Source organism: Homo sapiens, chromosome 18 (assembly GCF_000001405.40).
Source record: "Homo sapiens chromosome 18, GRCh38.p14 Primary Assembly".
NCBI lineage: Eukaryota > Metazoa > Chordata > Mammalia > Primates > Hominidae > Homo > Homo sapiens.
In genome coordinates this window covers 72147041-72172888 of record NC_000018.10, presented here as the reverse complement: position 1 = coordinate 72172888, position 25848 = coordinate 72147041, and the positions used below count along the sequence as shown (strand labels likewise).

At 35.1% G+C, this 25848-nt stretch overlaps 1 long non-coding RNA gene across 1 annotated transcript; it reads left to right on the top strand.

Moving 5' to 3' along the window:
• Nucleotides 1–23: 23 nt before the first annotated feature.
• Nucleotides 24–25220, top strand: LOC105372189 (uncharacterized). The gene is made up of 3 exons (XR_001753545.1): nt 24–179; nt 24105–24252; nt 25010–25220. It is a non-coding gene; the product is annotated as an uncharacterized LOC105372189 (long non-coding RNA).
• The last annotated feature ends 628 nt before the right edge of the window (nt 25221–25848 follow it).

Here is a 25848-nt window from a genome sequence, read left to right as displayed (position 1 = left end):
CTCTGTTTATGATACAGGTAGATTGTAAAGTAGCTCTGAACCAAAGTTGAGCCACATTCGGTCACTCAAGAGTATATTCATCATTTCTCTGAATGACAACTTTAGAAATCTTCTTCCTATCTCTATCAAGTTCACCGTCCCTATGTCGAAGAACACAGTGAAAAGTATAAAGAGAAAAGGTGAGAAATAATGGCAAAATGTGAACGTACTTTTCAGTGAGTAATGAAGACTAAAAAATATTTAATTGCCTGAATTCAAATTTATTTTGATAAAAAATAACCATATGTTGGAGAGTTATATAACTACATTTGTTGTGCGAATATGCTTGGCTCCACCTAATAGACTTTTCCCATAGAATGAAATATAAGGTACAAGTATGATAAGCATATCCTTTTTATGGACAAAGAAGTTAATAGAATAAACCTCAACAGAAATAAAATTAAGTTTTCAAAGAAGATGGCTTTTATTATAAACAAATATATACTTTTATTATAAATATAGTCCTACTTTTAAAAGTACCTATCTGTCTACTTCATAAACTCTTTCCTACCTCAGACACAAATATTTTAAAATTCCTCAAACTATAAATGTAACAATGTATCTTTAATTCTGATTTATTAAAGAAAAAAGCTCTTCTTATTTCTTACGTAAACAGAGAAGATAGATTTTTGATGATTTTGAATCTGGAACACAGCTCCTCACATGTGGCTCTTTTATAATGACATCTGGCTTCAAGCAGGTAGAAAAAAACCACTCTGGAGTAAAGTATATTTTAATTAATTGCAAACAGTTCTCAAGGCCATCTTCAAACACTTGCACTTCATTGCAAGACAGAGAAAAGATAATTAATAAAAGACTTCATTGCAAGACAGAGAAAAGATAATAAAAGAGTCTCTCTAGAAAATAAATTAGTCACAAATAATTCTTTGTTAAAATTTTTGGCACTGATGACATCCAATGTGACAGGAGTTGGCTGCCTCCACCTGCTGTTAGTCTCTGTTCCCAGGACACTGTTCTGAGATTGTCGTGTTCCTCCCATCCAAGCAAGAATGCAATAATCAACAACTCCATCGAGTAAATGGAAGTGTGAATAGCACTGGATATGCATGAGTAACTGGGCAAAACAACTCTTTGCACCTGCTCCTTTTTTGTATTTCATAATTGACATCAAAGGCTTATAAAGGCAGTGCTTTTTCCCAGTGATTGCTACATTGGTTTTCACTTGCTCCTTCTATTTCATTAGAAGTGGAAAAATGTGTTCACATTTAATGACTAGCTACCTGACTCATTAGCGTAGTCACCTGTGATGGTAAAATCCTGTTGGGTTTATTAATAAATTATTGCTTATCAGGAGGGATAACATTTACCGTCACACTAAGTATAATTTGCCTTGAGCTCCAAGAACAATATAAAGGATAATGGTTTAGTGTGTCCTAAGTTGGTTGTGAATCTATTTTCTATAGAAAAGAGTTGATGCTTCTAAAAATGGTCTTAAGGCCCTTTTCTCACTGATACTACATTCAATCCACACACACACACACACACACACACACACACACACACATATACATAGCTCTCTCAACATGTGTCAAATGTAATAGCACTGAAGAAAAAGCAGAAAATTGAACAAACCCATATGAACAAATTCAGTACAGAAAGAGTTTGAAGGATTTCAAATAATGTAAAAGCCTACAGAATCCCTACCATAAAGATCCCCAATGTACATAAATTAATTGTAAGAAGGGAAAAAAACATGGCATCTAGAGATGTGTATTTTAAGAAAATGCTTCAATGAAAAAGTAATCTTGTTTGGCAGTTTTTACTACTTAAGGCATTGAATTTGATTGATATTGTAGAAATTCACGAGAAAATTAGGTGTTCTAAAAACAGTCGTGTTTCAATTTTCAATGTCTACTTTGAACTAATTGCCTGGCCAGGTAATGAAGGTAGAATAGCAGCAGGGGCACCAGCATGATGATGTTAAGCTGTAAGATCATCAATGGAAACATGTATCACTGTGCATCTAACAGTATATTGACACTGTAGTATGTTTCCTGAGACTTCATCCTGTCTGCTCATGAGAAATGTAAGTTGAATAAAAAAGTGAGGAAAGTAATGCAATACTTGGTCTGCTATAACCAGTATGGTTTAAAACTTATCATAGTCGGGGTATTCACAGGAAAGCTGAAGGACAGTAAGACGGAGCTAAATGCTTGAATACATACTTTTAACTCTGGAACTGGAGTATGAATGAATCATGTCTTGTTTAAAAGGTGTGATTATGGGACTTGGAGGTTAAGGAAACCTGGAACGTTCAACGTGTAAGAGGTAGTCAAATAACAGAGGCCCTTTATTGATGAGCTGTTCACATTGTCCTTGTCACTCAAGACTATTTATGGATTGATTAGAATTTTCTTCGATTAATAAAAATCTCAACCTTTTTCATTGAAAATGTACATATTATTCCTTTTCCTTTGATGTTTTTCTTCACCTATTCTTAGTGGTTGGGTAAAATATCACCTAATTGGAGAAGTGTCCCTGGCCGTCCTTCCCAATAGAGCATTCTGCAATGATTCTCCATCACTGCTGGCTTTCCTTTGCTCTGCATTTGCTTTTTCCCGTTTTTCTTGATGGTCTACAATGTACATGCCACGAAGGCACAGACCTTATTTTCCATAGTCAGCACTCAGTGCTCGGCATTCAGCAGAGTGACTGGCACTTGACTTGTGTTCAATAAATTATTGATTTAAAAAAGCAAAGTAAATACTCTTTAATAAAGAATGGATAGCAAAATATTAGCTTCCTAATAAATGCACAAAAAGACATGAATTTTAAGGAAAATGGATCAAAGATATATAGAAAATATAAGTAGATCGAGATCTGTTAAAAATAAAAATAACTCTTTCAAACAGCTTCTCCTCTGAAATTCGCCATAATCAGATGGTTTTATGAGTAAATTCTTGCAAATTAAATGAAATCGATAACTCCCATGGTGTTTGCGTAGTTCAACAGCACACAGGAAAAAGATAGCTTCTCAATATATTTATAAAGCAGTGCTGTGCTGGCAAGGAGAGCACATAGAGAATATTTTACTTATAAATATTGATACAAAGTTGTAAATAAAACATTAACACATAGAATCAAGTAAAACATCACATGAATAATACACCCAAACAAATAGGACTTATTCTTTTAAGATAAAGAATGATAGAAATGGTTTAGAACTACAAAATTAACTAAATATATCTTATAATGTCAACTGGTCAAAATAAGAAATATATAAAAATTTTTACTGGTGCCAAAAAGGTCTTTCTGACAAAGTAATCCACTAACATGTGAACTGAGGAATACTTTCTTAGCAAGCTGGGAGTGCAGGCCAAAGTGCAGAAGGCTTAATGTTGAGCCGTGAGAAGCATGCAGATACAGGAGCAGGAGGAAGATGGAGGTTTCCTGGTCTTTGTAAAACCTTTAATGGTGTTATGAAATTTCTCACCAATTCAAGTAGACATATGAATGACAAAAAATAAATATAACACATACAGGAGTACCTTGGAAATGTTATGGGTTTGAACACAATGAAGCGAATATTGCAGTAAAGAGAGTCACAGGAAGTTGTTGGTTCCTCGGTGCATATAAAAGTCATGTTTACACTACCCTGTAGTCTATTGTGTGCAATAGAATTTGGTTTGAAAACCAATGTATGTACCTTAATTAAAAATACATTACAGTGGCCTGGTGTGGTGGCTCACGCCTGTAATCTCAGCACTTTGGGAGGCTGAGGTGGGCAGATCATCTGATGTCAGGAGTTCAAGATCAGCCTGGCTAACATGATGAAACAGTGTCTCTACTGAAAATACAAAAATTAGCCGGGCATGGTGGTGCATGCTTATGGTCCCAACTACTCGGGAGGTTGAGGCAGGAGAATTGCTTGAACCCAGGAGGTGGAGGTTGTAGTGAGCCAAGATCATGCCCCTGTTCTAGCCTGGGCAGCAGAGCAAACTCTGTCCAAAAAAAAAACAAAAAAACAAAAAACAAAAAAAACCCCACAAACTTTACTGTGAGTTACGTTTTTTTTGGTTTTTCTGTTCATACAAAAGTATTGTTTACACTATACTTCTGTCTTTGAAGTGTGCAATGACATTATTTCTAAAAGCAATTTGCATGCCTTAATTAAAAATTGTTTATTGCTAAGTAATGCTGATAATCATCTGAGCCTCCAGAGAGTTGTAATCCTTTTGCTAGCTGAGGGTCTTGCCTCAATGTTGGTGGTTGCTGACCAATCAGGGTGGTAGTTGCTGAAAGCTCGGGTGGCTGTGGCAATATCTTATCATAAGATAACTAGGAAGTTTGCTGCATTGTTTGGCTCTTCCTTTCACGAAAGATTCCTCTGTAGCATGTGATGCTGTTTAATAGCATTTTACCCACAAAAGACTTCTTTCAAAATTGTAGTCAATCCTCTGAAACCCTGCTACTGCTTTATCAACTAAGTTTATGTAATAATCATTTTTTAGTTATAATTTCAACAATGTTTACAGTGTCTTCACCAGGGGTAGATTTATTCTCAAGTAATCACTTTCTTTGCTTATCCATAAGAAGCAACATTTCATCTATTAAATCTTTATCATAAGACTCAGTAGTTCCATCACATCTTTAGTCTCAACTTCTAATTCCAGTTTTCTTGCTACTTCCACCACACCTGAAGTTACTTCCTCCACTGAAATATTAGACCTCTCAAAGTCATACACGAGGGTTGGAATCAGCTTCTTCCAAACTCCTGTTTATGTTGATATGGCATCTAGAATGGTAAACTCTTTTTTTTAAGGATATATTTTTCCTTTTTTAAAAAAGTTCTACTTTAGATTCATGGTGTAGATTTTCATTTTTTAAAAAAATCCAACTTTTAGTCTAGATTTAATGGGTAGATGTGCAGGTTTGTTACATGGGTGTATTGTGTGATGCAGTTTAGGGTAAAATTGATCCCATCACCCAGGTAATGGGCATATTACTCAATCAATAGTTTTTCAAACCTTGGCTCCCTTCCTCTCCCGCACCTCAATAAATTCCTAGTGTTTATTGTCACCATCTTTATGTCCATGTGTACCCAATATTTAGCTCCCATTTATAAGTGAGAACACACAGTATTTGGTTTTCTGTTTATGCATTAATTTGCTTGGGATATGGGTCTGTCACTGCATCCATGTTGCTGCAAAGGACATGATGTCATTCTTTTTTATGGCTGCATAGTGTTCCATAGTGTATATGACCAATCCTAGGTTGAGTTCATGTCTTTGCTATTGTGAATAGTACTGCAGTGAACATATGTATGCATGTGTCTTTTTGGTATAATGATTTGTTTTTCCTTGGGTATATACTCAGCAATGGGATTGCTGGGCAGAATCGTAGTTCTTTTTTAAACTCTTTGAGAAACCTCCAAACTGCTTTCCACAGTGGCTGAACTAATTTACATTCCCATCAACAGTGTATAATCATTCCCTTTTCTCTGCAGCCTTGCCAACATCTGCTATGTTTTGACTTTTTAATAAAAGCCATTCTAACTAGTATGAGATGGTATCTCACCGTGGTTTTGATTTGCATTTTTCTGATGATCAGTGATGTTGAGCATTGTTTTCATATGTTTCTTGGCCACTTGTCTGGGTTTTATAGAAGGTTTTCAATTTGTTTTGCCAAGACCCATCAGAGGGATCACTATCAATCGCAGCTATAGCCTTACAAAATGTATTTCATAAATAATAAGACTTGGAAGATGAAATTTCTCATTGATCCATGGGCTACAGGATGGTTGTTGTTTTTGCAGGAATTAAGGCAACAGTAATCTTCTTGTATATTTCCATTAGGGCTCTTGGATGACATGATGCATTGCCAATGAGTAGTAATATTTTGTAAATAATCTTTTTTTTTCCTCTAAATAGTAGGTCTTAACAATGGCCTTAAAAATATTCAGAAAACCATGCTATAAACAGATGTGGTATCATCCAGCTTTTGTTGTTCCATTTATAGAGCATAGGCAGAGAAGATTTGGGAAATTCTTAAAGGCCTTATGATTTTTAGAATGGTAAATGAGTATTGGCTTCCATTTAAAGTCACCAGCTGCATTAGCCCCTAACAAGAGTCAGCCTGGCCTTTGAAGCGTTGAAGCCAGCCATTCACTTCTCCGTTCTATCTATGAAAGTCCTAGTGGTGTCTTTTCCAAGAGAAAGCTGTTTTGTCCACATTGAAAACCTGTTGTTTTATGGAGCCACGCTCATCAATGCTCTTAGCTAGATTTTCTGGATAACTTGCTGCTGCTTCTATATCAACGCTTGTAGCTTCATTTTGCACTTACCCATCCTTTCCTTAAACTGCATGAACCAACCTCTGCTAGCTGCAAACTTTTCTTCTGCAGTTTGCTGACCTTTCTCAGCCTTCATAGACTTCAAAAGAGCCTTGATCTGGATTAGGCATTGGTTTGAAGGAATGTTATGTCTGGTTTGATTTTTCTAACCAAGCCATTAAAACTTTCAATATCAGCAATAAGATGGTTTTTTCTTTGTGTGTTAACTGAAGTAGCACTTTTCATTTTCTTCATGAAGTTTTCCTTTGCATTCACAACTTGGTTAGCTGTTTGGTGCAAGAGGTCTAGCTTACAGCCTATTTTGGCTTTGAAAATGCCTTCCTCCCAAATCATTTCTAGCATTTGATTTAAAGTGAGAGTCCTGCTTCCTTTCATTCGAATACGTAGAGGCCATTGTAGAGTTACTAATTGGCTTAACTAGAATATTGTTGTGTCTTAAGGAATAGGGAGGCTTGAGGTGAGGTAGACAGACCAGAAAATGGTCGGTCTGTGGAGCAGTCAGAACACAACAACAGTTATCATTGAAGTTTGCCATGTTATGTGGGCATGGTTCATTAGGTCCCAAAATAATTACAATAGTAACATCAGTGATCATTGATCACAGATCAGCATAACAGATAAAATAATAGTAAAAATATTAAAATCTTGTGATAATTAGGAAAATGTGATACCGAGATGTGGAGAGAGCACCTGCTGTTGGAAAAATGCTGCCCATAGACATGCTGTATCCAGGGTTGCTATAAACCTTCAATTAGTAAAAAATGCACTTATCTGCAAAGTGCAATAAAATGAAGCAGAACACAATGAGGCATGGCTGTATTTTAAAATGATGGCAAATCAATAAAATATAAACATGGAAACATGCGGTAATTAGTATTTTTACAAAATATAATGCTCTAAATCTATAACCTTCTCATGTATAATAAACATAGGTCAATAATAAAAATCCCATTCACAATAATAACTACAGTGTAAATAAAAATAAAGTTAGCAAAACAAATGGGCAACATACATAATCATAGGAAAATGTTCACAGGGTGAAAAAATGCATAAATAATAATATTTTCATTTCAATGATGAAATATTTTAAGCATTTTTCCTAAATTTAAATAAATTACCATGAAAATTATATAATTAAAAATAGTTGAAAACATCATAAATTTTGAAGACTAATCATTGCCAGGCAATTAGGAAAGATAAAACGAACTAGAAGACATATTGCTCTACCAGTATTGAAACATTAAAAAGAAAGCCAATTATAATCCTGAAGGACAAAATCTCAAATGCCATAGTCCCAAATGTTGAAATCCTGAGAGATGAAAATCCCCAAAATATAATTCTGGAAAAAATTATTTTAAAAATTATTCAAAAACATTTACATTTTTAAAGATTTATTTAACAAACATATAAAGACATGGCAGAACACTTCATAATCCCCTTTACACAATAAAACAGGCAATAATAACCATACGTATCTCTGCAAGCATAAACACTTAGGTATATTAATGAGTCACACTGGTATAACAGTTATGAGCAGATAACTGTTATTTTGAACTCTATTCATAAAGAAATAGGTCAAAAAGAAAAATGTGTAAATATCACTGTGGTTGACAATTGTGTGCACCCAGCTTTATAACTTTGTCATATCTGAAGTACCATGGTGGACAACCTGTTTTTTGACAAGATTGATCAAAAACTGCAATGGGTCTCCACTGCATATGCAATCATCCAAAGAGTTGAGATCTCAAAAAGTTTATCTGTCACAAATGCGGATGTACAAAGACATTTCTTCATTTATTGAGTAAGTTTCAATGCCTTAATACATATATATACAATGCTCACACACAAAGTCCACATTATGCAAAAAAATGCATAAAACAAATTAGAACTCTCTAAAAGTCTTTACACAATTTGTGCATCCAGTATAGAAATAAGGCAAAGATGAAATGCATAGCATAGTGAGTTATAAAATATAATGTAGCCAATTTAAAATAGTGGGACAAAAAAACTAAGAAAAGAAAAATAAAAAAGATAAAAACTAAAAAAAGGCTAAAAAGAAAATTCAACATGTGAAAAAGTATATTATAGGAATAGATTATAAGCAATTGTGTGAAGGTTGTCCATGACAGCTGGCCGACTTTCACGATCATTAATGATTTTTGAAGCCTTGCATCATGATGAATAGCTGCTATTTTTCTTTTGAGGCATGGCTCTCCATGGAGAATATGTTCACATGCATTTTCTATGTGATGCTACTCTTTATGGAATTCCAGGATACACTGACATGGGCATTCCCTATTAAATTTCACCGTATTATTTGCCATGCTTCTATGTTGTTTTTGGTGAATAGAAATCCTTCTGCATGCTCTTATCTACAGGACACAAATTTGGTAGAAACAATATTGGTGCTCAAACAGCAACATCATTGCATAAGTGTCTTCTTAACCTACCTTGCACATAATTATTTTCTAATTAGCCAGTAGCTTCACTGGTTTCTTCAGGCAAATGTAGCTTTAATTCATTAAAAAACTTGGAATTTCATCAACTGAAAGAAATGCCAATGCAGACAACTAATTCATTTTAAAACTGAAATTTTCATTGTGTCGGTGTTGAGTGTCCAGTCCACTCATCTGAGTTTTCCACTAAATGCAAATAAAGATAAGTAATAGTTTCTCCTAACATGATGCAACTATCCTATGTACAACCAAAAATGCACTAACCAAAAAGGACAATTGTATGCTGTTTATCAATGCAATGCAAACATATGGTTTGTACTAAACTTATTTTAAAATTGAAAAAGTTAATCATACACAAGTTACATGTTCTTCTTTATGTTAATGAACTACCTGGTCGAATGCTCAGAAAATTATCTATTATTTATTGGATATATAATTTCAGGGATTTGTTTCATTTTGATTTTTGTGTTCTAATTATACTAATTGAACATTTTTACCCCAATAGTTTGTTTTTAATAAGACATCATTTTTTCCCCTTTTGTTTAAAAAAGGTGACTAATTTTCATTAAGAGATATAATCGACTCAAAATTCTTCTTTCTCGGTTTTGATTTTGAGTCACTTGAGTGTAGTATTTTTAAAATATATATTTTTGAACATTTGGCATAGATGTCCATTAATCAGATGTTGATTGTCTTGTATTTTTCTAAACATGAATATATAATATTCAATATAATCTATATAAATATATAAATTTTCACCCTGGAAGGAGTGCTCTTTTTTTAGTTTTAGCATTGAATTCTGTATGGGTAGTATTATGATATTCAGCAGCAAAAGTATAAATATAAAATTATATGAGCAAGATAATTTTGAATTTCAGCTTTTATGACTTCCCTAAATGTCAAAGAGAATTTGGGTTTAATATTAAAAATATCAATTAAGTGTGTTTTGTGTCAGCTACTTGGCATAAGAGATCTCATAAACTCTTCACAAAAACAATTTGGAGTAAGCATTAGCATTCTTATTCTGTGCACTTCATAGTATAGAGCTGTTAAGGCATCTGAGCAGTGTAATAAACCATGGACTCTAGATTCATTTGACTCTATTCACAAGGATTGCTAATGCTGCATAATGCCGCTAATATACAGAAGTGGATGTGATGGCTTATCACTTCACGTTAGGAGATATGTAAGAAAAAAATATAGGTGTAGTCTCTTACCTCTCAAATAAAAGCTGAATTGACACTTAAGAATTTATAATGGAGTAATTTAAAGCATTTTTGGGGTGATTTAAGTGTCTTCTCAGTCTCTTACAACCTTGGTATTTGAACTAAAAGGTAAGATGCTAAGGAGTACTAAATATAATCAACACCATACTCTAAAAATGCCTGAATTAAATATAATCAACACCATACTCTAAAAATGCCTGAATTAAATATAATCAACACCATACTCTAAAAATGCCTGAATTAAATATAATCAACACCATACTCTAAAAATGCCTGAATTAAATATAATCAACACCATACTCTAAAAATGCCTGAATTAAATATAATCAACACCATACTCTAAAAATGCCTGAATTAAATATAATCAACACCATACTCTAAAAATGCCTGAATTAAATATAATCAACACCATACTCTAAAAATGCCTGAATTAAATATAATCAACACCATACTCTAAAAATGCCTGAATTAAATATAATCAACACCATACTCTAAAAATGCCTGAATTTGTGGAACAGAATGATATGGATTGGGATGTAGCTCAACTCCTTAATATTTTTCAATCTTGTGAAACTTACTAATCAAAATTCCCTTAAAAACAAGACGCAAGAATAAAATCACCAGAACTCCTACCACTCCAGATATTCTCATGTGGTAGATGACATGGTTGTTCCTAATTCTTTGCTTTCTCGTCATTTAATTTTGGCGTATACCAGGAAAGCAGAGCTTGTATATGCAGTTTTCTCTAACCAATGTATTATGAAGAGACATAACATAAACAAAGTAGTAGATTTAAATATGTTTATGTTACTTTGCTTTCCCTCTTGCACTTCTACTATCTGCTATGAGAAGAACAAGCCCTGGAGAGTCACTGTGTCAAGTACCACGAAGACACAGAGGGAGCAGACCTGGCCCCAACCCACAGTTGGTAAGCAGGCAGAGCTGAGCTCAGACATGATTAGGCAAACTCCAGACAATGGAGACCTGTGAGTAAAACACAAAAGTATTGTCATAAACCACTAAGACTCCAAGGTTGCCACACAGCAATAACTAATACATGGACTCTTGACCTTTTGTTGAACATCCACAATACAAATCCACAATAAAATAGGCAAGTTTATAACTTAAATCATTATGTGCAATTTTCTTCATTATTCCTATATGTGAATATGTATATATACACACACACATATATATACATATATATACACATATATATGGATAGTGCTTTAAGTTATTCTTTCCTTAAATATCTTTATTGTCTAGTTTATCATCTGTTCTTTTTTTCTAGAAGATTTAATGTAAACGTTCAAGTAGTATTCCTGTGAGTGTTAGGGGGTCATTTCTGCAGGTTTTTCACAAACTAGAGCACTTTGAGATAAACACTATTGCAACACATGTTTTTGTAATTCTACATTAAGAATGCAATTTGCATATTATATGATAAGGCACATGTGTTTTATACAATGTAAAAGGAAATCAGCAGAACTTGTAACTAAGAGCCTCTCTACAACATGACCTGAACAAAGTAGGTGAATTTGCTACTGGTTGATAATATTAACTCGTCACTCCACCTTTTAGTGTGTCAGATTTTCCTGTTGCAAAACTGGTTAACATGAGGACTTAGGTAACTCTCAGACTTCACCTGATGAGTGTACAGTCTTTTCTGCAGTTATGATTTTCCAGTAACTCTGAATTGATTTCTGTCATTGGTATAAAAACATGCCAGAAATGTGCACCACTCTAGACAACTTTACAACTGAAAGTTATGTTGGAATATTTGTAAGTCTGCAGTGTCTGTGTCGGGTTTTCAGTTGATGAGTGATCAGCACACATGTGGGAGGAAACTATCTAAGCTGAGTAAACATCACCCAAAGGATTAGAGGGGAAAGTACTCTAAGCTCACACCGGTTTGGCAGAGCACGTGTTCCCAAAATCGAAAATGAAATTCTCATAATTCACAAATCTCTTAATTCTGGGGCATCAGTTGCAATTCTGTGTCAGAGAGATACATAGTATGGCAAATTTCTACATTAAGAAGCAGCAAATGTGGGCTTCAAAAGTGAAATTATTACAATTGCATTTGTGTCACAAGGCAGTTCTAGCTGCTGCTGTATCCACACAAGTATTTACTTTCCTGAGCCCTGGCTGTGCAGCTGCTGCATCAGGGCTGTGTTCCTCATTTCTTCCCCAGGTATCATTGCAGCACACCCTCATCCATCAGGGCTCTCTGGACATGCCTCTTTTAAAAATCTGAAATAGTCTTACTAAATAGTCAGGCAACATGAAACAAGCAGGAGAAAATGAAGAAAAAAGGATGCCACAGAAACAGAGCACCCATCAAACCCAAGTTCCTTTGGCTAGATTTTAGCTCAAATACTGCAATTTAGGAAACAGTGATGTCTTTGTGTATGCTATATTATTGCTGATATATTTTAGCTGCTTTAATTATCAGGCCTTTCATTATCATTAAGAAGGGTGAAACTGTTGATGAAATTTATATATTATGGGTCCACTCACTAGCATTTCCTGAACAGGATATATGAGTATGAATAATATCAAGAAGTAAATATTTCACAAAATATGTCTTTCCAAAAGTATCTCTACTTTATATTATACAGAAAATATCCCAATATATCATATTTAATTAACTAAATGAATCTCATTTTATGGAAGAAAACTTTACCTTTGTGTTGACTGTAATTTGATACTAATGTACTGCAACAGTATACCTCTCTATAAAGAAAATCTTATTTTAACTTTTTACACATAATTTCTTTGAAAAGTACATTAATTGAAACACATGCCAAATTTTGAGTTTTCAAAATGTGTTGAATGAATTCCTAACAGTTGGTGAATTCTTAACATTTCATTCTTCAAAATATTTATGCCAATTTAGATTCCTACTATTTGCCCATTCTTTTAATTCTGATTATTAGTTATTTTTTCCACATATACTTTTTACTTTCTTCATGCACAAAATGTCTCATTAATTTTTACATTTATTTAGCAGTCTTTCCTTTCTAATGAAATTCAATATTTTGCTTTTTTCTTTTACTTTTGGTTGACATGTAACACCTGTACATATTTATGAGATAGTATTATTTTGATACATGTATAAAATTATAAAATGTTTAATTTTCAAATCAGAGAAATTAGTATATGCATCACTTCAAACATTGATCATTTCATTGTGTTTGGAACATTCAAAATCCTCTCTTCTAGCTATTTGAAAACATATAATAAAGTATGTTAACTATCAACACCCTACAGTGCTATGCAACACGAGAACTCATTCTTTCCATCTAGCTTTAACTTCGCATCCATTAACCAACTGCTCCCCATCCTCCCCTTCCTGCTATGCTTCCCAGCTTCTAATAACCCACAATTGTACTCCCTACTTCTATGTGCTAATTTTTTTTTTTTCAGCTCCCATGTATGAGCGAGAACATGCCGTATTTGTGTTCCTATGCCTGACTTATTTTACTTAATGTCCTCTGGGCTCATCCAAGTTGCTGTGAATGACATAGCACAATGTGGATTTCATTCTTTTATGGCTAATTATAGTCCATTGTGTATATGTACTACATTTTCTATATCCATTCATCTGTTGATATACACACAGGTTGATTTAATATCATGGCTATTGTGAATAATGATGTAGTAAATGGGGGGTGTAGATGGCTCCTCAATGTCCTGATTTCCTTTTCTTTGGATAAACAGTAGCAGGATTGCTAGATCATATAGTAGTTCTACTTTCTTTTTTGTTTTGAAACGGAGTCTTGCTCTGTCGCCCAGGCTGGAGTGCAGTGGCTCAATCTCTGCTCACTGCAAGCTCCGCCTCCCGGGTTCACGCCATTGTCCTGCCTCAGCCTCCGGAGTAGCTGGGACTACAGGTACCCGCCACCACGCCCAGCTAATTTTTCTGTTTTTAGTAGAGGTGGGGTTTCACCATGTTAGCCAGGAAGGTCTCGATCTCCTGACCTCGTGATCTGCTCGCCTCGGCCTCCCAAAGTGCTGTTTTCAGTTTTTTGAGAAATCTTTATACTGTTTTTCATAATGGCTGTACTAATTTACATTCCCACCAACGGTGTATAAGAGTTTCCTTTTCTTCACATCCTCACCAGTGTTGGTTATTTTTTTTGTCTTATTGATAATAGCCATTCTAACTGGGGGAAGATGCTATCTCATTATGGTTTTGATTTGCATTTCCTTGATGATTAGTGATGCTCAGCTTTTAAAATATACTTTTTTGGCCGTTTGTATGTGTTTTTTGGAGTAATCCGTTCAGATGCTTTGCCTACTTTTTAGTTGGAACATTTCTTATTTGTGAATGATCATGTCTTCTGCTCATGTTCACATTTTTCTGGGGAGATTTTTATCTTTTCTGATTAACCTTTAAGAGATCTTAAAAAATATATTCAAGATGAAGTTTATCTGTGCTTCTAATCTTCCTTTTATTATTTCTAATGATGTATTTTATTTTTAGTATTCTAATGGGTATTTTTGAGCCACAGTAATGTGTGCATTTAAAGATTTCATGCAGTGAAATCTTACATGTTGTGTGGGGCTATTATTTGTTTTGTTTTGCGTTTGGTGTAACTTTTGCAAAGTCCAACTGTATGGAGACTATATTATCATTCTCATTTTACTATTGACTTCTATGTTTATATGGCAGATTGTATCTGTTTATAAAATACTCCATATGCCTTGATATTTAGCAACACAAGATTTCTTATTCTTTTCATTCTTCGGGGTTCAAATTACCTGTCATTTCTCCTCTGTCTCAATATTCTTATGTCAATGATAAAGACACTAATTGGCTTCTCCTGGAATATACGCCCACACATATGACAAGCTATAGTTGCCAAGGGGGTTGATTTCAATGATTCAACAATATGGGGACTTGGGGCCATCCCTGTACCAAGAAAGGAAAGTTCTTTTATTTGCACAAATAACATATAGTACAGTGAACCAGCAAAGAATGGTGGCCTAGTAAACAAAAGTGACAACAAAAAATAACTTCAAAAATACCTGGCAGAATAAAAGTTCATGTTAACTACATCTAGCCACATTTCTCATTCCTGTTGCTACTACCATAGTTCAGTCCTTTATGATTTTGTACTTGAATTGCTTGGGCAAATTTCATAATGATATTAGTGCCTTTTGACCTTTCTCATCTGATTTATTTTAACACACTCGGGCCAGTATGACATTCCTAAGAACACAAATCTAATAATGTTGTTTACATGGCTGAAATGATTTAAGGTACTTCCGTTGTTTTTAGGAAAACGTGAATTTCATTACTTGAAATAGAAGGCTGGTTTTTAATTCAGTTCAATTTATCTCTTCTCTCTCCTGTATTATATCTCAATATCAAACTATACCAAAATTCCTAGAATTATCAGAGTAGGACCAGATGCCTCCCACTAACTAGTACATGAACATGACCCTCCATAGAAAAATACTTTAAATACAATTTATTTTTACTGCTACATTGTCCTGAATTAATCGTAATAATGGCATTTATCACAATCTACAATGTCGGCTTGTTTATATTCCTCTACAGAATTTAAGTTACTTGAGGGCAATGACTATATTACTCATCTTTGTGATGAGTGTCAAGTGGCTATTGTAGAGTAAGGATTCAAAACATGCTGGTTCAGGGAGCACATGTGTGAACTCCACGTGAAGATGCCTATGATTGTGGAGAACACATGTTCATGGTATCGAGTCTCCATGAGGGCACCTCCTTGAAGTCCCACTTCAGTCTCTCCTGCCCATTTTTTCCTCACCACTGAAAAGAACCAGTTGCCTGATACATGAAATTAGAAGAAGAAAATGAACAGGCTAACATATTCTTTTATCAACACTCCTTTCCCTCTCAGTTCATGATCCAGATGCCTATCTAGAATGCACACTCCCACCTTCTCTCCACCACAGAGCAGGAATTTATCTGCCTCTTCGAAGGAGATATCAGCTGACCTCCCAGGCGGGTTTCAAGGGAATAGCCTTGGAATCAAACATCCTGTTCTCGAATTTTACTAAATAGGCTGTTTTTTTTTCCCACTCCTCTGATTCATTTGCTTGTTTTTCAATCCTTTATGAACTCAATATGGAAAAACAGGCATTATTTTGTTAGAACCCTGAACCCAAACATTTATGTCCAAATTTTCTCTGATTTTGACAAGAACTTACAAAAATTCAAAAATAACTTTCAGATATACGGTAATCTTGCGTGGGACACATTTGCTGGAATCTTTTTATTCCATACCTTTCTTAGTCTTTTATTTTATACATTCTTGAAAGCATTTCTGTTTGTGGATCTAGATTTTGGCAGTCTTACTACCCGCATTCTTTTTCTCTATACCTTATATTCCAATTCGACTGGAGAGTGACCTGGCTAAAAGACAGTCATCTCGCTGTTTAGAAGGGCACTTGTACTCTAGTCAAGTCATATATAAGAAAAAAGAATGATGACTTATGTACAAGGAGTCACTATTTGGTGTTTTGCTGGGCAAATGTTAACTGATTGGTATGAGGATGAATAATGAGTTTCTTACTAGAGAGGGATGAGATCGATGTCTATAAGAATTATAAACAGCCAAACATATTAATGATTCAAGCTCATATTCAACTTTCTGTTTTGAAGGGTACCATTTCCATAACTTATTGTTATGTGTTTACTTAAACCTAAAAATATATTTACATTTTTCAGATAAATTTTCTGTTAGAGTCCAAGTTCAATATGGAAGAAAAAAATTGACAAGAGTCCAAGTGATCAAATCCCTCAATTATGGAACAGTTCTTTAGTCAGACAATTGATGAAAATAAACAGGAAAACTTGCTTTTAGGAGACATTTGGTGAAAGTGCCATAGTCGGTGTTGAGAGGGGCTCAGAGTAAAAGTAGATGTGGGAGTTGAAACTTAGGAACTAATAGCAAAGCTCTCATCTCATTGTACATCGGGAAGGCACTCATACAGACCTTAAGTGGGATGATAAATAAAATCACCAGCATATTTTTTTAAAAAACGTCCGAAGATGGAATGTGTCATTCAGAAACATTACTGACCAGAATCAGCAGAAGCAAAGAAAAACAGCTGTGGGAGGATGAATGCTTACAATGTCTGCTTAAGCACTGTGGTACTCAGATGTCTAAGGTGGCCTGCATGACCCACACATCCTTGTGTGACACCCTTGTGTAACACCTCTTCCCTTCGAATGTGGCAAAAAAATATATACAAAGACCAACCAAATGGGAAAAACAAAGGCCGTTTATCCTGTGCTTGCATAGCAAGAGAGTCAGCCAACATTACTTGGATGTTGGCAGGGATTCAAAGGCAGGCAGAGAAGTGCGAGAGCTTTATAGTGAAAAAGAGGACAGCTTCAAGCTTGCCCTGATTGGAGGCGACTGGCATGAAGAAGCTGCAGGCCAGCTACCTGGAAGTGGGACACCCTATGGGATTGGTTACGGGTGTATATTTGTCTTTCTCTGGTTGATCCTAAGTTAGGAAATGGGACAAAAATTAGAGAAACTGAGTTTTTAAAGTTCTGGTCATTTTGAACCAATTGTTACAAAAGTTATTGTTTAGCTTTCTGAATTGTCACTAAAGACAGCAAACTGGCTTCCCACAAGTCTCATTTATAACAGGCTGGCTTCCTGTTTTGTTTTCCGTTGACAAATAAAATTGTATGTATTTGTGGTGTCCAACATGTTTTGACACATGTATACATTGTGAAATGGCTAAGACAGCTCATTAACTTATGCATTACCTCAAAGACATTTCTTCTCCCTGCGGTGAGAAAGGGGGCTGTTTTCCTGGTTGCTGCATATTGGGAGTCAGATTCTCTACTTTTGTATATGAACTAGTCATTGTTTGTATATTCAGTCCTTCAATTGGCTTTACTTAGAGACTTTCTTCTTAGAAACAGAATAAAGCAAAGTTGGTGGAAGGTAGCAGATGTGATTAGGTTACCTAAGATTGTGATTTCCATCTTGTTCACTGACTCTTTCTCTTGCTGGATTTGATGAACCACATTGTCAAGTTGGAGAGATCCACATGGCAAGAAATTGTGGGTGGGCTCTGGCCTGGAGGCAGTGGGGAGATAAGGTCCTCAGTCCATCAGTCCTTCAGAAATGAGTCTTACCAAAACTGGTGGAAGAGATCTTTTAGTTGAGCCTTCATAAGAGACCCTTACCCTGGAGGATAATCTGATCATAGCCTTTTGAGAGACTCACAAGCAGACAACCTCGTTAAGCTATGCCTAGATTCTAGAAAAACTATAAAATAGATGCGTACTGTTTTAAGCTGCTAATTTTAGGGTAATTGGTTACATAGTAACAGGTAACCAATGTGATACATAGAAGCATCACACTTTTGGAGTTTGAGATTCAGGTGCCAACTCAAAATTGCCCCTATTATGAAGTATTAAAGGTAAGTGCGTGTGTGTGTGTGTGTGTGTGTGTGTGTGTGTGTCTGTATGTATGTGTCTGGAGTAATAATGGACTTTGTATATCTCAGCCTGATAACAATAAACATTAAATTAAAAAAAAACTAGTTCCTTTTCTTCTCACCATATCCTCATGTGGCGACTTTCCAATTCAAAGGTATGTCAGTCCATGAAGAGAAAATGTGCAAATCATAACAGCAATGAGTCTTTCTAGTCATCCTAGTCAGATATTTCTTTGAGTAAATCAATAAAGAAGTTCTTGCTTTTGACTTCTTTTCAATTGTTTTACCAAAAGATGTGAATGAATTAATTGTTTTTAAAGACTCCCTGTTTATGCAACAGTTGCTTTTGTCTTTGTTTGTAACAAGCTGTCACTCTCTTACCAACCCTAGTGGGCATATTTTTTAATTAACTTATATTTATCCTCTGGGCTCAGTAATCTGTAGGATCTGACAAAGGTAAGTCTCTAAGGGCTTCAAAGCAAAGGGCCATGATACAGAAACTGTGGTTTATTCAAGCTGATCTGAACGCTGGTGACCCCGTGTGTTTTCCTCCACTCTGTTCCTTAATAGCTGATAAGTGTCCAGAACTTTACGGTGGGAGAGGAGGAACAAATAGGAAAACATGCTAAATATTACCTGCTAAATTTTACAGCTCAAATCTTGAGAAACCACATAATTTTTCTGAGATTTTCAAGACATAGACTGTTTTTGTCCTATCAGGCAGAAATCATATTTTAAAAGAGAATATAGCATAAAAGCCTAACAAATGCAAAAGTAATTTCACTCTGAGAAGATTTAAGGATACAATGCAGTTTCCTTTCGACTATGACGAGTTCGGGAATTAGAGTGAGAACCTGAAGAAGGTTGTGTGCTGATGAAAGTTGTTTATAGAATTCTAAACAGATGCCCTTAATTGACAAAGCATTGTGATGGGCATTGTTCAGGAGTTAATTCCATCTGACAGTGGAGCTGGCATGTTTATGTTAATGTTTGCATGAGTAACAATATGATCCTGAGATGTGATCTTAGAAAGAGAAATACATAATCAGGAACCAGCATCTAAAAGAGAAGTATCAGTTAATGAAGAAGAATGATCCCCAAGAGATGGGATACCAACAAGGTGAGCCTTGCGCTGGCCACAGATTACAGCGTGAAGAAAGTGTCCGGCCTCCCTGAGCGGCAGGGAGGGGAACCCAGGCACAGCCTGGCATTTTCCCTGATTTTAGCAGATGGAACGGGGAGTTCAGGGAGGCCAAGGTGAGTTCACAGGGCAAAGTATAGAGTGCTTTCAGTAAATCAGCTGTGTCTGTATTGGGTTTTCAGTTGAGTACCGATCAGCACATGTTTGGGAGGAAACTTTCTGAGCTGGGTAAAGCATCACCCAAAGGATTGGAGGGAAAAGTACTCTAGGCTCACACCAGGTTTGGCAGAGCATGTGTTTGCAAAATCCAAAATGAAATTCTCATAATTCACAAACCTCTTAATTCACTGGCAGCAGTTGCAATTCTATGTTAATCTGCATCCACACAAGAGATAGACACCACTAAAAGATTAAAACAGGGGACGTGTAACACATAAAATTATTATTTATTCTGGTAAAAGAATGACTATAAGGCATATGAAGATTCTACATGATACCATATGGGCTGAGGGAGAGAACACACAAAAAAGAGAATTTTGGAAGTGGGTTCATTTCCTGAGAATGGAGTTCAGGCCTCTTTGCAGAAATTATAGTTGCAGCCCATTGGCTGCTAGAGAAATGTGCAGGTTTGGTAAGGCCAGAGCCAGCCTGAATTCCCTAGGCAAGAAGCAAGTAACCTCCAGAGCACAGGAAGGGTGCAGGTGACTTGCCATGGGTGGCTGGTGAAAGGGGCTCAAATAATCTACACTCTGGCAGTCAGGCTCAAAAGCCTACCAAGGGAGATGACAGAATTGCCCGTAACTTAACTTATGTTTCAGGAATGAGAGAGGTGGCATCAGTACAAAATATACATATGTGTATGGACACAGATAAAGATAAACATATAGAACACACATAGGATAATAAGAAACTTTTATTTAAAAAAAATTATGCTAGTAAATCTGACAACTTAAAGCAACATTCTCACCCAGGAGTGACTTTCCTCCCCACCCTCTCTTCGCCACTACTGTCCAAAATGGCAGTAGTGCTGGCCAAGGTTGAGAAGCCTTGATAATAGATGAAGTTGATAAATTTCTTGAATAATACAAGCTGCCAAAATTACTCAAAAAATCTGAATTCTTACAATTTATGATATGTGAATTATATCTCAACATAGTTGGCAAAAAAAATCCTATGAAATCTTTAAACCTGTACCTGAACTAAGCAAGTCTAGGAAGTTTTTCAGTTACAAGATCAACACACAAATTCAATGCATTTCACTGTATTCACAACAAACATACAATGAAATTAAAGACAAAATCATATATAATAGCACAAAATATAAAATACAGATGAATCTGGAGAAAGATGCACAGGCCTAAATACTGAAATACATGGTATTGATGAGGAGCACTGAACAAAGTCTAAATAAAAGAAAGATGTAATGGGTTTATTTATTGCAAGACTCTATTTTGTTAGGATATAAATTCTCTCCAGAATGAAGTATAGGTTTATTGTAACCTCAATAAACACTTTGCAGGATTGTTTTGGGATAAATTGACAAAGTGATTCTACATATTACATTGGAATGCAAAGGTTCTAGCAGCCAAATCAGCTTTGAAAATGAACAAAGTTTAAGGCATTGCAGTACCTGATTCAAGGTTTCTTAAGTCAGCTACACATCAAGACAGTGTGGTGGTGGTGTGGAAATATTCTAATATTTTAGTGTTGTCACTCTACCTTGTAGTCTGGTAGTTAAGATTCTGTACTTTCTCCCTCATAGCTTGTATTCAATTCCCAGTCAAACTTATTAGTGGGTCAAAATAGAAAATATAGAATTGGACTCACTTACACATGTTTGATTGATTTTTAATAGAAGTGCGAAGGCAATTTAGTCAATAAAAATAAACTTTCAACATGTGATGGAACAATTGTGTGTCCACATGCAGAAAAAAATGAAGTGTAATTTATACCCGCACACTATATACAAAATAAGCTAAACCTAGATCACAGACCTTAATGTAAATTTACACATTTCAGTTAGATGGATGAATAAGTTCAAGAGATCCATTATACAACATGGGACTATAGTTAATAATATATGCTATTCTTAAAAATGCTAAGATAGTGGATGTAAAGTGTGCTCACCACAAAAATGATAACTATGTGAGGTGATGCATACGTTAATTAGCTAGACTTAACATTTCACAATGTATATATATCTTAAAGCATCATGTTGTGCAAAGTAAATACATACAATTTTATTGATTTAAATACATAAATAAATACGATCATAAAACTTGTAGAAAAAGAAAAGAATAAATTTCCAGTGATCTTGGATTAAGCAAACATTTCTTAAATATGACAACAAAAGTATGATCAGCTAAAAAAAGAGAACTTTTACTGCATTTAAATTAAGAACTTCTGCTCTTTGGAAGATGCTGCTAAGAAAATGAATAGGGTTTTAAACAGTTTTATTAAGACATAATTTACACACCATAAAATTCACCAAATTAAATAGTACAATTCATTGGTTCTTATATTCACAGAGTTGTACAACCATGATCACAGTAAGATGCTGTTAGAGAAATTATAAAAGACTGACGTTCAGAATACATGAAAATCTTTCAAAAGTTAAGAATAAGAAAACAAATAAGAAAACAATAAAAAGTGGGCAGAAGTTTAAATAGACTCTATGAGAGAAGACATATTGGTGTCAAAAAGTACATGGGCTTGGTTAAGATAAGAATTCTTAAGTAGATAATGAGAGGCATTGACTATGTAATAAAAAACTGTGCTTAATAAAAATTAAAACCTTTTTATTTTCAAAGGATACTTTTAAACAATGAAAAGTCCATCCACAAACAGAAATGTATTTCTGACAAAGTATATGAATCTAAACTACATAAAGAACACTCACAAATCAATAACTTGAATACAAACAACGGAGTTAAAGATGGCAAAGTATTTAACAGACTTCTCAAACAAAAAGATATGTATATGGTGAATAAGTTTATCAGTTAATACCCATCTCATTACTCATTAGGAGCATATAAATTAAAATCACTTGGAAAACAGGCAGTTGGTTAATAACTACATGCATATATAGTAAATGTGTGTGTGTGTGTGTGTGTGTGTGTGTGTGTGTGTGTGTGTGTATCTCCTTATGCCCCAGTCATTCCAGTCCTGGGTGTTTACCCAGGAGAAATTAATGCATACGTCCTTGTGAAACATGTATGTGAATATTCAAAGCAGCTTTATTTGCAATAGTCAAAAACTTAATGCAACCCAAATGTCCATCAGTAGGGGAATGAGTAAACAATTATTTGTATATGAAAATATTGAAATACTTCTCAATAATAAAAAGTAACAAACTATGGATAAATACAACAGCAAGTATGAAGCTCAAAGTAATGATACTGAGCGTTGATGCTATACCCAAAAAGTAGATATTCTGTATGATTAAATTATGTAAGATACTAGAAAATGCAAAGTTATCCATAATACCAGGAAGCAGATAGTGATTTCCTAGTGTTAAAATAAATACTTTTTGTTTGTCTGTTTTGAGATGGAGTCTTACTCTGTCGCCCAGGCTGGAGTGCAGTGGCGCGATATCAGCTCACTGCAAGCTCCGCCTCCAGGGTTCAACCGTTCTCCTGCCTCAGCCTCCTGAGTAGTAGCTGGAACTATAGGCACCCACCACCATGCCTGGCTAATTTTTTTTGTATTTTTTTAGTAGAGACGTTTTTCACCGTGTTAGCCAGGATGGTCTGGATCTCCTGACCTCGTGATCCCCCTGCTTCGGCCTCCCAAAGTGCTGGGATAACAGGCACGAGCCACCGCGCCTGGCCAAAGAAATACTTTTAACAAATTAAATTTAGCAGAGCTTACTTGAGCAAAGAATGATAAATTGGGTAATTGGGTATCCCTTAGAACCAAGAGAGGTTCAGCTATCTCCACCCAGCAATGTGGACAAGCCATATTTACAGACAGAAGAAAAAAGCGATACCTAGAAACAACTTGACAGCTCTGCATTTGCCTTATATGGACATGGTCTGATCAGTTGGCAGCCTGTGATTGGCTGAGACTCAGATATTTGTTACAAGAATATACTCTTAAATTGGACTGCAGTTTGCTATTTAGGAGCTCAAAGTACAGAGGCAGCATTAGGCCAAATTTAACACGAAGGAAGGCCGGTCTGGGAGAATGACAAAAAATGATTACAAGGAGGCAAATGAAACTCTTGGGAGTGATCAACATGTTCATCACCTTGGTTTTGGTGAGTGTTCCACAGCAGTATTCATGTGTCAACACTTACCAAACTGTACGGTGGAACATATGCCAATTGTATCTCAATAAAGCGTTTTATGTAAAGACCAATAGGAAGCCAGAGTTGTTATTTATAATAAAGAAACTTAAGGAATTTTAAGTTTGATACAATACTATGGATGTATTTTACATAGTATTGTTTCCATTTATATGATATTCAAAAACAGGCAATACTTACATATGGTGAAACAAATCCCAACAATGTTTACCAGTAATGGAATGATCGAGAGGCTGTTGATCAGAAAACGTATGGAACTGTATTTTGGGAAGCTTGAAATATTTTCATCATTTGACTTGTGGTGCCATGGTATATAAGTAAGTAAAATGTATTGAATTTTACAATTAAGATCTGTGCCTTATACTGTAAGTAATGTATCTCAATGAAAAAGAAAAAAATCATTACCTTTATTTCCTTGTTCTTTATTACAACTTGATCTCATATCTTTTTGACCAAAGACTTACTGTATAAGAATACATATTTTAATATAGTGCTGATATTAGATATTTTCAAATGTTAAACGTTTTGCATATTTCACAGAACTTGAAAATATATTGAATATTTTCAAAATAGTATAATGTTAATTACACCTGGCTAAAGAAAGGTAAATTAAGAGAGTAAATATTTTTCTCAATATAGTTCTTGGTCTAATATTTTGAAAATTCTAATTCTTTGTAAGTTTTTTGGAGCATGTATTTTATTTTATTTCCAAAATCTTCAAGTACAGTATATAATTTATATATGACTAGATTATTCTTGGGTAATACCTAGTTGATTTGGAAATTCTGCAGAACATTTGGTGAAGCTGATTATGGACATAAACTTTCAGTGAAATAAAGAACATATCGAAAAATAGTATCTATAGTAAAATGTGATATATTAAGCAGCGTGCACAGAAAGCAAAACCAAAACTTTTTCTTTATTTCAGTGAGGCTTTGTTCAGCACCATACTTTGTACATTTTCCCCCTTTTATTTAAGGTCAGAGAGTTCACGTGCATTGTTACTTTTATTTTTTAGCATTTGACTTCTATTTTTTTCTTACTCTTTCTCTTCTTTTTGCTGCATTTGGCCAGATTTCCTATTGAAGAGTTTAAATAGAGTTGCAGAGGAATAGCAGGAAAAATGGCTGAGATCTCATCACTTGTCAGATAAATCCCAGGGTGCCTCTGCTATATAACCAAGATACTGATTGATTTCTTTACTCCTAGAAGTCTGTGACATTACTGCACCACTTAACGCTCCAAAATGAAAAGTCTTTGCCTTGAAGGTGAACTGCTGTTTCAGGTACATTTAGTAGTACCTATGAGTGAATATTTCTTTGAAATTTGAAATATCATGCAACAAATAGCCACCCAAAGGGAAATATTGTATAACAAGCTTATGTGTAAAATATAATGTGTATATATCAATTATTTAATACTCTAAATAATCAGTTTACCTTTTTCTTATTTCTCCTTCTTCATTCGATATATTTTTATGACATCAGATTAGCTATTGCTTGCACTAAACAAAAGGGAACAGCATTATATTCCATTCAATATTACTATTCTCTTTGAAATTAATTTATTCCTGGCATATTTTAATAAACTAGATCTACTAAATGTTCCTAATTTACTGTGATTTACTTCTATAATGACTGGGCGTGGTGGCTCACGCCTGTAATCCCAGCACTTTGGGAGGCCGAGGCGGGTGGATCAATTGAGGTCAGGAGTTTGAGGCTAGCCTGGCAACATGGTGAAACCCCATCTCTACTAAAAATACAAAATTAGCTGGTCGTAGTGGTGGGCACCTTTAATCCCAGCTACTCAGGAGGCTGAGTTGGGAGAATAGCTTGAACCCAGGAGGCGGAGTTTGCGGTGACCCAAGGTCGCGCCACTGCACTCCAGCCTGGGTGACAGCCAGCCTCTGTTTC